A 14,786-nucleotide genomic window follows, 5' to 3' on the forward strand; every position below is an offset into this window, starting at 1 on the left:
AATTAGTGAGACAGGCGGAGTCCCTGCTCTTAAAACACAGAAGACAGATAAACAAGTCATCACTATTCAATGTGATGAAACTGACAACCCTACTCACCCTGGGCAGCCAAACTCAGTGGCTGGGAGCTAGAGATAGGGAGAGCAGGGAGACTTTTTACTCCATTTCTTGTTGCTTTTGAATTCTGAACCATGTGAATGTATTCCTGATCCAAAATAAATAAAAATAAAATGTGATGAGTTTTCACAAGCGGGAGTGTGCTTATGGGAACATCAGCAGGGAGAAGGGATACCGACCTGGCCTAGAGGATGTCAGAGAAAGCTTCCCAGAGAAGTGAGAGCCCAGCTACAGCCTGAAGCTTAGGGAGGTGTGGGTCAGGTGGGGAGTTGGAGGGAGAGGGATGCAGGTGTCAATGGAAGTTTATGGTGCTGGGTGATAAACACCAACGTTGCAGGGTCACTGGGAGGATTAAAAGTGTCCCCAGAAAGTGCCTGGCACACAGGATGTGCTTACTGTATGGTAGCTATTATTATTCCTCAATTATGGTTGCTGTCATTGGCAGAGGCTAGGGAGAGGGGACCCTAAGGCTGCCACTGACTCTACTGATATATTCCTGGGCCTCTGAAAGGCCTTGGTGACAGGAACTCATAACACTGCTGCGGCATTTTACAGTTTACACTAATCCAATCCTGGGTACAGGAGGGCAGAAAGAAGTTTGAAGCTCAGGGTGGCCCACTAAGGGGGGTTCTTGGCTCTTCTAGAATCAGCTGTCTGTCAAGCACAGGACCAAAACAACCCCACACTGTCTGGTTGCTCATCTTATGTCACAGACCAAGAAATTTCCCCATGCTAGGAAGGGACAGAACTCTCTCCCTGCCCCAGACCCAAGGCAGCAGCATACCGTTCATAGCAGTGAAAACCAGTGTTTCTGAGCACCACCAATGCACCTGGTGCTGTGCAAAATGCTTCACTTGGATTTGATTAAATCCTTGACCTCACAACCACCCTACCAGGAGCAAGCTACTGTAATCACTACCCCCATTTTACAGATGAAGAAACTGAGGCATGCAAAGGTTAAGTAACCTGCATGAGTTCACATTGTCAAGCTTTGACTCCAGGTGCCTCTTAGCCCCTTACTGACCCTAAAGCAGAGCTCTCATGTCTAAAATTTCCTCTGCTTGCCTGCTCAGCTCTTCCCTGCAGCAGGAAGAGAACCATTTCTTCTGACTCTGCAGAGCCTACTAAGTGCAACTCAACCTTTATTCGTATCCTAGACTTAGAACCCATGGAGGCATGAATAAGATTTTGAAAATCTGATTTCCAGGGGGGCCAGATGGTCAGGAGTTGACTATATCTAGATGCAGGATGGGGAGGCAATGAACCACTCACTCAGAGATGTCCCCTTCAGAATCAGGACCTCTGGGTATGACTGCCTTAGCCAGGCAGGAAGTGCCTCCCTGGGCGTGGCGGGGGTGGCTCAGCATGTCTGACCCCCAGAGAGCTGTGGGGCCAGCTAGCCACAGGGAAGCAGAGCTGGAGACCAAGTCCCCTCTGTCCTTTCTTGGAAGGACATGGAAGTCACGTCTTAACCCATAGCTTCATCATGGCCTTAGTGGAGACCAGCCAACTGTCAGGGGTCATGGCCATCAGCCCCCAGTTGGCTAAATGGACCTCTGAGTCCTAAAAGGCTAATTAAGACCTCTGACTTCTGTGTTCTTGGTCCCCTGTCATCCATACCTGTGCTGTGATTATTAGAGCATGCCTTTTCTTCCCTCCCAACCCTGGATGGAGGGGGTCCACATAGCCCTCCCTCACCCTCCTTGCCACAGACACCAAGCCCTTGTTTATTCTGAAAGTGTCAGTTGCATTTCATGAACTCCTAAGCGGGACCTTGGACTTCTGACTCCTAGAAAACAGAAGGCAGCTTCTACTAGCAACCAGACCCCAGCTTTGCACTCAGGGCTGACATTCTTTATCGATGGACCTCTCTGTGACTTTATTTCTACATCATCTGTAAAATGAGGATCGAGATACTAACACACCTACATCGCAAGGATCATGTTCGTTAAAACAAATGCTTAGAATAATGCCTGGCATATTGTCAGCTCTAAACAAGCATTCTCTGCAATTACTATTATTACCGCAAGTATCATCCTGAGCAGCCCCTCCCATGCCACCATTTCAGCCCGGCCTGCATCTCCACCCCTGAGGCCCTGCCTCATTCTTGGGTCTGCTCTATGTCTTTTGTCCCTCATCCCTCCTCCTCCTCGCTCCTCTTCCCTCCCTGTCAGTCCCCCGCTGCTCCTGCAGTCTTGTGCCGACTAATCATGCTGCTGTCAGTTCAGATTAGAGCCCATTACGTTCCTTCATCTCAGCTTAAAATTTTTGTGGTTTCCCAACTCTGCCTAAAGTGCTCCACGAGGGACAAGGGCCATCCAGCTGGAGGGTGCTTCAGGAGGAAGAATTCGGGTCTGTGAGTCCCCTGGTGGGCTTTCCTCCTTCCTGCCAATTCGATAAGAGGCTGGATGGTGGGGAGTGGGCAAAGGAGAGCAGTCCCTCCTGGACTGCCATCAGGAGCTCAGGCCCCGAGACCAGGGAGCGGGAGGTCTTGGCATCCCAGGACCCTCGAGGTAGACTCATACTGGTGTCGTGTGACAGCACTGCTCTGGGACCACATTTGGTCACTCCATTTGAGAATTCCCAGGGCTGTGAAATTTTGCAACTGAGAGACTCCTGGCAAAACCACTGTGCTCAGCCCCTGAACCGGGGTCTATCTCCTTCAGCCACAGGCATGGCCTGTCTTTGTGATGGCGTTGTCCATAGTAACCCTTGGACCTTGTCACAAGCCTGCCTTCCAACAGCCCAAGCTCCAAGGATCTCACCAGCCATGGGGTCCCTCAGGAGCCCTGGGCAAAGCTCTCAGGAAGAGACAAAAGCAGAAGCAAGAGGCACGGGCGGGGGTTGGATGCAAGGAAGGAAGGAAGCCAAGAACCACCCGTTTTAATGCTCTTGTTCAGTGGGCCTGGTATTGAGCCAGGACTTTGCCCGCCTCATCCTATTTAATTTCCATTAACAGCCCCTGAGGTAGGTGCACCTATCACCACTTGACAGTTGAGGAAACTGAGGCACAGCGAAATGAAAAGCCCTTGCCTGAGGCTGGAAAGGGGAAGAGCAGGATTTTGAATTTACGTTGCAAAGCACCTGATGGGGAGAGACAGGAGGGCGACCCCTGGCAGCCTCAGGGCTGTCTGGCTAGTCTCAGCCTCTAGAAAAGTTGGGTCCAGACCCTGAAATTCTGTGTCTGGGTCTTCCTTGTCCTGTGACTTGGGTATTACGTGTTAATAATCATATTTAACCTTTGTGTAGCGCATTCCTGTTTACAAAGTGTCTTCCGTGGCCTTTCTTTTTGAGCCTCGCCATAGCCCACAGGGCAGGCAGGGGTGCCTTATCATCCCTCTTTTGCAGATAAGGAAACTGAGGCTCAGAGAGATGAAGCCTCTTGCCAAGGTCACAGATGGAAGATGACCCAACCAGAACCCAAAGCAAGGTCGCCAGGGCCCAGCTGTGCAGTGAGGACACCACACTCTGACCTCTTTGATGGATGGTCTGCATTCACCCCACCATCTGCAACGTCCTCAGTTGGGCCAAGATCTGAGAGGCTTCCAAGGGGTACGCAGCCAGGGGCTCTCATCTGGGCCCCTCAAACCTTCTCCCTCCCAAAGCTATCAGTTCAGTTGGGAGGATGTCAGTTTGTCTGTACGGAACACCAGGGAGAAAATTATCACCGCCATGAAATGCTTCCCGTTCCACATGACCTGACAGCCTTCCAGCCAGAAATGTCCTTGCATGTGGCCCAGTCTCATCCTCTCACTAGGCCTGGTCCTTCTTTATCCCCTGACCAGAGGACTCCCCTCTGCAGGGGCTTCAGGAACCCCAGAGCTTTCTTGGCTCCAAACTAAATGGTCTCTGTTTCTAGTGAAGGTTAATGGCAGTCCTTAGAGTTTCCAAGTTCCTCCTTTTACTCTTTTTTTCTTTTCTTTTCTTTTCTTTTCTTTTTTTTTTTTTTTTTTTGAGATGGAGTCTTGCCCTGTCACCCAGCCTGGAGTGCAGTGGTGTGATCTCAGCTCAGTGCAACCTCCACCTCATGGGTTCAAGTGATTCTCCTGCCTCAGCTCTGGAGTAGCTGGGATTACAGGTGTCCACCACCATGTCCAGCTAATTTTTGTATTTTTAGTAGAGATGGGGTTTCACCACGTTGGCCAGACTGGTCTCGAACTCCTGATCTCAAGTGATCCACTTGCCTCGGCCTCCCAAAGTGCTGGGATTACAGGTGTGAGCCACTGCACAGGCCTCCTCCCTTTATGCTTGGTGGCTGGAAATGTCACACCCCTGCCTAAAAACCCCAGGTAAGTCCCTCAGCTCTTCCCCACCATCCAGCTTACCTTCCCAGACCCATACCTCCAATGCCCCTCAAGGTACACCACAGCCCCATCCCCTGAGCCAAATCACCTGTCTCTGAATGCTGACCACGTGTTCCCAGCTCTGTGCCTTTGTATGTGCCAGTCCTACTGACAATGACTTTCCTGCCTTTGTCCATCCAACTCACTCCTGCTCAGCCTTAAAGACTCAGCCGTAGAAAGCACTTCCTCTTCTGAGCTTCCACCATCGGACTGATTTTCCCTTTATGCCTGCACTAGCATTGTAGGTGTCTGTCCATCTGTCCATCTCTCTCCCCACACTGGACTGTGAGCTTCTATGAGCAAGAACTGGCTCTCAAGCCACCTCGATTCCTGAAAAAATTCTTCCCCTTCTTTCTTTCCTCCCTCCTCTCCTCTCTCCTTCAATAAATATTTAAACAGTCCTGTGATGTGCCAGGCCAGGTACTGGGGGCTCAAGGATGGACAAAAAAAGGCATGGTCCTAGTTTTCATGGTTGTTCAATCTAGTGGCTGATGTAGATCATCAAATATACATAAAATTAATCAAAAGATTCATCACCACTGTGTAAGTGTCTGTTGAAGAACTGCAGAGTGCTGGCTTATGCAGTCCAGGACTACCTGACCTTTCTTTTTCTTTTCTTTTTTTTTTTGAGATGGAGTCTTGCTCTGTTGCCCAGGCTGGAGTGCATGGTGCGATCTTGGCACACTGCAACCTCTGCCTCCTGGTTCAAGAATTCTTATGGCTCAGCCTCCTGGGTAGCCGGGATTACAGAAGCATACCACCATGCCTGGCTAATTTTTGTATTGTTAGTAGAGTTGGGTTTTCACCATGTTGGCGGGACTGGTCTCAAACTTCTGACATCAAGTGATCCACCTGCCTCGGCCTCCCAAAGTGCTAGGATTACAGGCATGAGCCACCGCGCTTGGCTACCTGAACTTTCTTAAGAAGTACCTGGTGCTGAGGAGTAGGTTCCTGTATTCAAATATTTCATAGCAATCCAGCAACATGTTGGCTGCCTTCTTGGACAGTGGCCACTGTAGTTTCAGCTTGGGGTCCTTTATGGACTTCTGATCCTTTTTATCTATCTTTGCTCAAACTCATTTATCCTCATGTGGCCAGTGTAGTTACAGCTTGGGGTCCTTTATGGACCTCAGACCCTTTTTATCTGTCTTTGCCCAGACTCTTTCATTCTCCCCACCAGGCATTTATGGGTCTCTCCTAGGGTAGTCTAGCCCATATCATCTTGGGTGGAGGGTGTCTGCCTGTGGGACAGTGTATATGAGCAGAGTAGGGGAGGGCAGGACCCCCTTGACTTGGGTAGCTACATGTCACCTGTAGAATCTCCTCACTATGGGGAGATGTAAGAACAGCCATTGAGTTCCAAGCTGAGGTTGGAATCCTGAAAAAAACAAACTGGAAGGCTCTGGCTTCTAGAGGAGTCTAGAAAGATTGCTGTAACTGTCGGCAAAAGAAAGAAGCAAAGAGCCCAATTCATTCTCCTGAGCTAGGGCAGAGCCTGGAAAAAGCCAAGGTGGCCAGGGGCTGAGGGTCCCTGGTGGGGCCAGAGCATGGATGTCATGCTTCAAGTGGGCGTGGAGGTGCCTTGGTGGACATTTTCATCAAGACACAAACAGTGATGCTGAGCACGGCAGGGTTAGCACAGCTGGCTCACCCATGGCTTGGTTTGTAACTCCAGACCAGGATACTCATCCTTTATTTACAGCCAGTGAATTCGCCCCCAAGATTTGGAGAATGCTTACTGTGACCACTTAGGTGCCGCCCTGATTGCAGCCAACAAACACCTGTGAAACACCTCGAACATACAAAACACTGTTGGGTTGCGATGGTATAACAAATTCACCCTGGCTTTGTTCTGAGCTAGTCGCCCTGTTCCTTTAATGTCAATACCTTAGGTACAAAGTGCTGAAGATGCAGCCACGTCCTCAATGGACTCGCAACCTCATGGGACTAACTTCACAGCGGGCAATGTGATTGACTGAGTCCCTTTCCTTCTCTGGGCCTTGGGCTCTTGCTCTGTAATAACAAGGGGGGTCAGCCTACCCGACCTTGGGTTTTGCCAGGCCTCATAAGATTCCAATGTAGGTTTACACAGAAGGTCACTGGCTGATGTGCAGGGGTCATTAAGTCCCCCTAAGACAGGTGCCAGGAAACCTACCAATTGGATAATTAGGCTTGCCCCGACCCTACAGCCCTTGAGGGAGCAGACCTGGACTTCAGCTGCCCTCCCCATGGGGCGGAAGTGCCGGCACTGCGGGGGTCCCCTGGTGGAATGTGGCTGTGGTGGGTGCTGGGACAGAGGGCTTGGCTGACAGATCTAAGGCTGCCGCCTGCCACCAGGTCTCCGTGGGGCCGCCAGCCGGCCCCCCTCCTGTGGAATGACGAGCTCACTCCCCCCACCTGGCGTTTAATCTTTAATGCAGTCCCAGCTGCCCTCGGGCAGGACCCATCAACCCACCCGCTCTGATAAAAGCGATAATTAGCTCTTTTTCAACTTTTCACTTCTCCCCCCTCCACTCTGATGTGTGAGCATTGGGAGGATTCCAGCTAATGGGCCTGCCCACAGCCAATTCCCGGGCCATGCAAGCCGGAATGCACGGGGTCATTAGCGGGGCCTCCCGGGCAGGGGCCTGTGCTCGGGACGGGACGTGCTCGCCTGTCCGCTCTGGGGCATCCCAGCCACTGGAGAGCCGGCCGGATCTCGGCAGAGCAGACCTGCCCAGACAGGCTGGATCCCACCTTCCTTGGTGGTGGCCCCTGCCTGCACCACAGCAGAGACCACAGGAAGGTGGCCTTAGGCCCTCCCAGCGCCCGGCTGAGAGGACACGGGGCCATCAGTCCCCAGGCATCGCCCTGCTCCCAGGGCAGACAGCCCAGCCTGGGTTCAGCCACCGGTCAGTGCGGAGGCTGCTAGCTGGGATCCCCCACCCTAGCCCCACAAGTGACTTATAATAACTAACTTGTACATGGAGCCTTATGAAGTGCTTCCAGTTCTGAGGTAGCCGCAGCCCAAGGCTTAACCATGCAGGCTCAGGAGCTGGGCTGTACGAGTCAAATCCTAACTTCCCCATTTGTGTTATGAGGACGGAACCTCTCTGTGCCACAGCTCTCACCCGTGAGGTGGGGTCAGTGGCCGTGGTGCCTACCATGGAGGCTGATGTGAAGATTGAGATGATGCAGTGAAGTGCTTGACATGGTGCCTGGCCTGTCTGAGCATTCTGTCCCCGCCATTGTCACTATTTGGTTCTCTCAATAGGCCTCTAGATAATTGCTGTTACCCTGCCATGCAGAGGTTCAGAAAGGTTGTGCCTGGGAATTTCCCAAGTTTTATTTTCTTAATGATAATTGATTTAACCAGTCCTCACAGCAACGTTGCATGGCAGGTCCTGTTACTCCCATTTTGCAGAGAAGCAGCTTCCCCACGGCTCTGTGCTGGTACATGGTGGGTGCAGAAATATTTTCTGCTACTCCAAGAATCTTGCCTTGTTTGGAACCATCTGCTGCTGGGCAAGCCCCTGGTCCTACTGCAGGTGTCTGAGGATCCAGGAGACAAGTGGGAGCAGGGCCTGATCTGAGCTTGAGGGGTGGGAGCCTGGTGCTGGGCAGGGTCTTGAAGGGGAAGCTGGTGGGGGCAGAGGGGGTTCCATCTGGGGATTAAGAAAGACCAAGGCCAGGCTGGGCGCAGTGGCTCATGCCTGTAATCCCAGCACTTTGGGAGGCCAAGGCGGGCAGATCATGAGGTCAGGAGATCGAGACCATCCTGGCTAACATGGTGAAACCCCGTCTCTACTAAAAAAACCAAAAAGAAAAAACAAAAAAAATTAGCTGGGCCTGGTGGCAGATGCCTGTAATCCCAGCTACTCGGGAGGCTGAGGCAGCAGAATCACTTGAACCCGGGAGACGGAGGTTGCGGTGAACCAAGATCACACCATTGCACTGCAGCCTGGGCAACAGAGTGAGACTCTCTCTCAAAAAAAGAAAAAGAAAGAAAGAAAGAAAGAGAGAAAGAGAGAGAGAGAAAGAAAGAAAGAAAAAGAAAGAAAGAGAGAGAGAGAAGAAAGAAAGAAAGAGAAAGAAAGAAAGAAAGAAAGAAAGAAAGAAAGAAAGAAAGAAAGAAAGAAAGAAAGAAAAAGAAAGAAAGAAAGAAAGAAAGACAGACCAAGGCCAGGTACTGTGTCAGCTCATGCCTGTAATCCCAGAACTTTGGGAGGCTGAGACAGGATGATTGCTTGAGCCCAGGAGTTTGAGATCAGCCTAGGTGACAGAGTGAGACCCTGTTTCAAACAAACACATTAAAAAAAGACCAAGGTTAGCGCACAGGTCATGAACTGGTCAAGCTCCATCATGGTCACTCTCAAGGCAAAGCGACAGCTTGGCCCTGCCTATTTCCCTCCATCTGCAGACTATGTGCTGCTTTCTATGATGTCCGTCCCACCACAAGGCAGTCCTTGCCACTCACTGTCCCCTATTCCTCCTGGATTCCAGCGCCCAAGCAGGAGGGGAGTGTGTGGGGAGAAAGTCACACAGCATGGGCCTGGGACCCTGAGGGCATCTAGGGCTGGACACCCCCCACCAGAGTCCAGGCCAAAAGAAGTCCCCAAATCAACACTATTGGGTCTTACTAGGGCTTTCCAGCTTCAAGTCAAATGCTACAGACTGTGACTCTCCCACGTTCCTGAGGGGACTACAGAAGACCCACAAGCTAATGGGTGTGCCCCTGGAGGAGGTCGCTAGATAAACAGAAAGAGAGGAACTTCAGAAGAGAAAGAATCTGCTGCGACCGCTCGAGTACCAAGAACGCTTGAGCAGCAGCTCAGCAGCACCAGGCAGACTCTGGCTTGGCTCCTCTTCCTTTGTTTCTGACCAGCTGCGGCCAATGCCTACAGGCTTGAGACCTAGTTCCAGAAGGCGGCCAGCACCTGGAACTGTGGAGCCTCCATCAGTAATGCCCAGGATCACCAGCACCCAGATTTCCCAGGGCTACCAAAGTCTAGGGCCACTGTCTCCAATAGTCATTAGCAGGACCACTGATGCCTAGAATCCGAGGCTACCATTAGCCAAGGTCACCTTCCCCTGGGGTTGTTGACATCTGGAACCACTTGGACCACAGGACATAGGACCTAGAACCCTGGAGGAGTCCACCCAGAGCTGCCATAAACTAGAACTCTAGGTTACCATGAGCCAGTATTGGGGGCCATAGAGTCACTGATGTGGAGTCCATCCTTGGACTCACACTGGATTGAGAAGCTTCCTGGGGTGATGGTGCTTGGTGAATGGCTTTTCTTGTGCAGGCTCTGGGTGTACCTTTTTTTATTTTATTTTTTGTTTTTTATTTTTTATTTTTGTAGAGATGGGGTCTCACCGTCATGTTGCCTAGGCTGGTCTCGAATTCCAGGGCTCAAGCAATCCTCCTACCCCAGCTTCCCCAAGTGCTGGGATTGCAGGTGTGAGCCACCACGCTGGCTACCTTTCTTTATTGACTCTGCTCCATAGCAAAATATCATGGAGACTCCTGAACCCCTTGCTTCTCTCCTACCTGGGTCCTGGGTTCTGGCTGTGAACTTTCCAAAGAGGAAACAAGAGGTGTCATGTGGGTGGGTCCTGCACACCCAGGACCCAGGTGAGGACTGCTCAAGGAGGGAGGGGGTACATGGCCTCTAATGTGGTCTCCTCTTTTTCCAGAAAATACACTGGGAAGTAGGCCAAAGGGTGTCCTGGAGGAGGTTGTATGAATGTTCCGGAGACAGAGCAGAGCATTACTGGGGATGGATCACGGGGCCTGGCCCATCCTAATTGCATCCCCTCCATCCCATTCACCCAAAGGCCAACCTTTCTCCACATTTTTCAGCGTTAGGCACTACCGTGACCTTGCTGAGATACCCCAAGGAAAATGTGGGAAAGAACTTTTCTCTTTCCACCTCCCACCCTCCCCCAGCCAACAAATAGATGGCCTCAGAGCCTCAAAAACATGCACAGAAAAAGTTCCAAACTGTTAACAACTGAAATCTTAGCAGTATCAACAAATAAATGTTGTACATGTAAAATAATTCCCATGGGATGCCTTGGCCTGCTACCCCAAGGGTTTCCATTGCCAAGTTCAAGGTTGTCCCAGGAAGAGGGCTGCTCAGCTGTTCTCTGCCCACCCTGGCCATGGCCTCTTCTTATGAGACCTGGCCTCATCTCTGGACTGACACTGTATGTGAGGAGGGCACAAGTAAGACCTGGAGAAGGAAACTCAACTTGGGAATGGAGGAGCATTAGAGACTAGGGCCAGGAGGAAAGATAGGAAGCAGAGGATGAGGAACGACACCTGAACAGAAAATGGTGATTCTTGCCTTGGGAATCCTCGAGTTTCCAGTGGAATCCTTGCCTAATGTAGCCAGATTCAACAGAGAGTCAGACAATTGCATATTTCAACAGTAATAATAACCAGTCATAATAACAGCACCTAGCCTCCCTCATACATTGAAACATTCGTCCATTGCTGGTAGGAATGTAAATTGGTGTAACTTCTCTGGAAAACGGTCTGGCAGTTCCTCAAAATGTTAAACATAGCGTTACCATATGACCCAGCAATTGCATTCCTAGGTATTTACCCAAGGGAATTCAAACAAATGTCCATGCAAGGACTTCCATGTGAATGTTCATAGCAGCATTATTCATAATAAGGAAAAGGTGGAAACAACCCAAATGTCCATCCACTGGTGAATGGATAAACAAATTGTGGTATATCCATACAATGGAATATTATTTGACCATAAAAAGGAATGAAGTACTGACACACGGCTGGGTGCAGTGGCTCACACTCATAATCGCAGCACTATGGGAGGCTGAGGCTGGCGGATCACTTGAGCTTAGGAGTTGGAGACCAGCCTGGCCAGTGTGGCGAAAACCCTGCCTCTACTAAAAATACAAAATAATAATAATAATAATAGCCAGGTATGGTGTCATGTGCCTGTGGTCCCAGATACTTAGGAGGCTGAGGTGGGAGGATGGCTTGAGCCCAGCGGGGCAGAGGTTGCAGTGAGCCAATATGATGCCACTGCACTCCAGCCGGGGTGACAGAGCGAGACCCTGTCTCAAAACAAACAAACAAACAAACCAACAAACAAAAACAAAGTACTGACATTGACACACAGACAACGTAAATGAGCCTCGAGAACATAATGCTAAGTGAAAGAAGCCAGACACAAAACACTACATATTGTATGATTCCATTTATATGAAATGTCCAGAATAGAAAAATCCATAGACACAGAAAACAGATTAGTGGTTGCCTAGGACTAAGGGGAGGAGGGAATGGGAGTGATTGCTAGTAGGTATGGGTTTTGGGAGGAGGTAATGAAAAATGCTCTGGAATTACTGGTGATGGTTGCACAACTCTGTGAATATACACTGAGTATATACAACCCACTGAATTGTATATTTTAATAGGGTGAACTTTATGTGAATTGTATCCCCATAGAACTGTTATTTAGAATATGCTAGGAGATTGTGTTAAGCAGGTTGATTGCTGTTGTATTTCATTCTTACAGTGACCCCACCTGGAATTAAGGAGATATATAGTGGGGGTAGTTAAGGGCACAGACTCTTCAGTCAAACTATAGGGGTACAACCTCAGCTCATTCCCCTCTAGTTCAGGGACCTTGGACAAGTCACTCAACCCCCGTGAGTCTCAGAGTCCTCATCTGTAGAATGGGCACAAGGATCTGTATCTTATCCACACAGCACAGTGCCTGGGGTACAGGGAGTGCACAGGCATCGGTACTGTTAGATGTAGTAGGAATTCAACAGGAGTACAATTTCACCACCTCCTCCCATCCTTTTCTATATATATACATATACATATATATATATATATATATATATATATATATATACACACACACACACACACATATATATATATATACACACATATATATATGTATATATATATTTTTTTGAGATGGAATCTCGCTCTGTTGCCCAGGCTGGAGTGGAGTCGCATGATCTTGGCTCACTGCAGCCTCTGCCTCCCGGGTTCAAGAGATTCTCCTGTCTCAGCCTCCCTAGTAGCTGGGACTAGAGGTGTGTGTCACCACACCCAGCTAATTTTGTATTTTTAGTAGAGATGAGGTTTCACCATGTTGGCCAGGCTGGTTTCCAACTCTTGACCTCAGGTGATGCACCCGCCTTGGCCTCCCAAAGTGCTGGGATTGCAGGCGTAAGCCACGGTGCCTGGCCCTTTCTATTTCTTGAGCCCCCTGGAAGTACAATCACCCTTAAAGGATGAGGATGGTGAAGAGTTTGGAGAAGGAGCAGCATTTAGGAAAGAGTGTATACCCGCTTCTCGCATTCAACTCACTGCACTGTGTTCAGCAGTACAGTACAAGGTAGGGTGGGGAGACTATAATACTAGCTAATCTTTATTAGGCACTTTGGCAGCAGTTGTATGTGTTTTTTTTCTTTCCATGTCATCCCAGAAAGGTGGTTTGGCCTGGAGATACCATTAACTTATTCATTACTGAACACCATCTACAAGCCAAGCTCTGTGCTCTGGGCCATAAAACAAAGTGGGGATCAAGACAGCCAGGATCTGGTGCTCAGAGGCTTACATTCTAGTGGGGAGGGGAGGTGGATAAGAAATAAATAAACGAAAAGCAATGTCTTTCCCAATCAGCTGTAATGCAATGGAAATTAATCAGATAAAGGGGGAAGGACTGCCCTACATAGGCATTAAAAGAAGATTTATCTGAAAAACTGGTTTCTGAGCTAAGATAGGAGGAAGATGTTTGAGGTAGAGGGAACTGAAGTGAAAATAAGCCCAGCACATTTATTTATTTATTTATTTTTATTTTATTATTATTATTTTTTTAGATGGAGTCTCACTCTGTCGCCCAGGCTGAAGTGCAGTGGTGCGATCTCAGCTCACTGCAACCTCTGCCTCCTGGGTTCAAGTGATTCTCCTGTCTCAGCCTCCCAAGTAGCTGGGATTACAGACTTGCACCATCATGCCCGGCTAATTTTTCTATTTTTAATAGAGACGGTGTTTCACCATGTTGGCCAGGCCGGTCTTTAACTCCCGACCTCAGGTGATCCGCCTGCCTCAGCCTCCCAAAGTGCTGGGATTACGGCATGAGCCACCACGCCCAGCCCAGCACGTTTAAAGAACAGCAAGAGAGCCAATGCAGCTGGAGCTGGGGCAGCCAGGGAGAGTGACACAAGCTAAGACACATGAGGGAGCCAGGGCCCTGTTACATAGAGCAAGCAGGTCTGCGTGAGGGACTTGATTTTTGTATTCAGTGTAGTAGGTGGCATAGGAAAGTTCTCCAGCCTTCTAATGGGAAAGAAGCTGAAGAGAACATCAGAATCCCAAGCAATAGGTCTAGTCTGATATCTCTTCATGCTTAAGGCAATTGAGTCACCTGCAACAAATCCTTTGGTTTCCCCCACAATGTCAGCTGCCTTGTACTGTCTCTGGGCTAAATGGAGCAAGAATTTTTTTTTTTTTTTTTTTTTGAGACAGAGTCTCACTCTGTCACCCAGGCTGGAGCGCAATGGCGCAATCTCGGCTCACTGCAACCTCCATCTCCCAGGTTTCAGTGATTCTCCCTGCCTCAGCCTACCGAGTAGTTGGGATTACAGGCGCCCGCCACTGTGCCCAGCTAATTTTTGTATTTTTAGTAGAGACAGGGTTTTGCCATGTTGGCCAGGCTGGTCTTAAACTCCTGACCTCAGGTGATCCACCCACCTTGGCCTCCCAAAGTGCTGGGATTACAGGTATGAGCCACGGCACTGGGCCGCAAGATCTTTACCACTGGGATTCCTTCTGGTGCCTGGTGTTGACCCAATGAGGTGAGCAGCCTCCTTCCTCCTCCCTAGATGCTGCCCTCCTGAAGCATCTTCCTTCTGGGAAGTCCGGGTGGTGCACATGAGTTTAGGTGTTATTTTTCCCGTGCTTTAGATCAAGCCCAGTCTTCAGCTGTAAATTGATTGTGAAGAAATGGAGGCTCATAGATCCCTACTTGTGCTAACCTTGTCAGAAATAGATGAGGAATGTCTGTGATGCGGAGGGTGCAATGTGCTGAAACTTACTTTCCCCATAAGATGAGATATTCAGAGTAATTCATTTGAAATCTCGATAAGGGAACAGTGCGTGTGTGTGTGTGTGTGTGTGTGTGTGTAAGATAGAGACAGAGAGAGAGACAAAATGCTATGGCAGGAAGTTTTCACTCGGCCAAGTTTTAACAACAAACAAGGAGCAGTTTGTGGCCAAGCAGTCAGTCCAGGGGGAAAAACAAACAGGCAGAGTGGGGGCTTGGGTGGGGGTTGCTGAGAAAGCCAGGAAT

The 14,786-nt window shown here is 49.6% G+C and overlaps 1 protein-coding gene across 1 annotated transcript in view, besides 3 other annotated features; it reads left to right on the forward strand.

The window, feature by feature from the left end:
- The window catches only part of LRRC37A2 (leucine rich repeat containing 37 member A2), a 676,337-nt gene that overhangs the window by 515,077 nt on the left and 146,474 nt on the right, over positions 1-14,786 (forward strand). The gene's annotated exons all lie outside the window — the stretch shown is intronic.
- Positions 1,695-1,989: a silencer, noted in NCBI's record as "tiled region #3811; HepG2 Repressive DNase matched - State 20:ReprD". NCBI's record gives its function as "represses a minimal TATA promoter and a strong SV40 promoter by Sharpr-MPRA in HepG2 cells {active_cell/tissue: HepG2}" and the evidence as "EXISTENCE:reporter gene assay evidence [ECO:0000049][PMID:27701403]".
- Positions 2,112-2,612: an enhancer, noted in NCBI's record as "H3K4me1 hESC enhancer chr17:44967346-44967846 (GRCh37/hg19 assembly coordinates)". NCBI's record gives its function as "activates a minimal SCP1, AML or CMV promoter by ChIP-STARR-seq in naive H9 embryonic stem cells {active_cell/tissue: H9 hESC(naive)}" and the evidence as "EXISTENCE:reporter gene assay evidence [ECO:0000049][PMID:30033119]".
- Positions 6,496-7,116: an enhancer, noted in NCBI's record as "H3K27ac-H3K4me1 hESC enhancer chr17:44971730-44972350 (GRCh37/hg19 assembly coordinates)". NCBI's record gives its function as "activates a minimal SCP1, AML or CMV promoter by ChIP-STARR-seq in primed H9 embryonic stem cells {active_cell/tissue: H9 hESC(primed)}" and the evidence as "EXISTENCE:reporter gene assay evidence [ECO:0000049][PMID:30033119]".

Source organism: Homo sapiens, chromosome 17 (genome assembly GCF_000001405.40).
Source record: "Homo sapiens chromosome 17, GRCh38.p14 Primary Assembly".
Taxonomy (NCBI): Eukaryota; Metazoa; Chordata; class Mammalia; order Primates; family Hominidae; genus Homo; species Homo sapiens.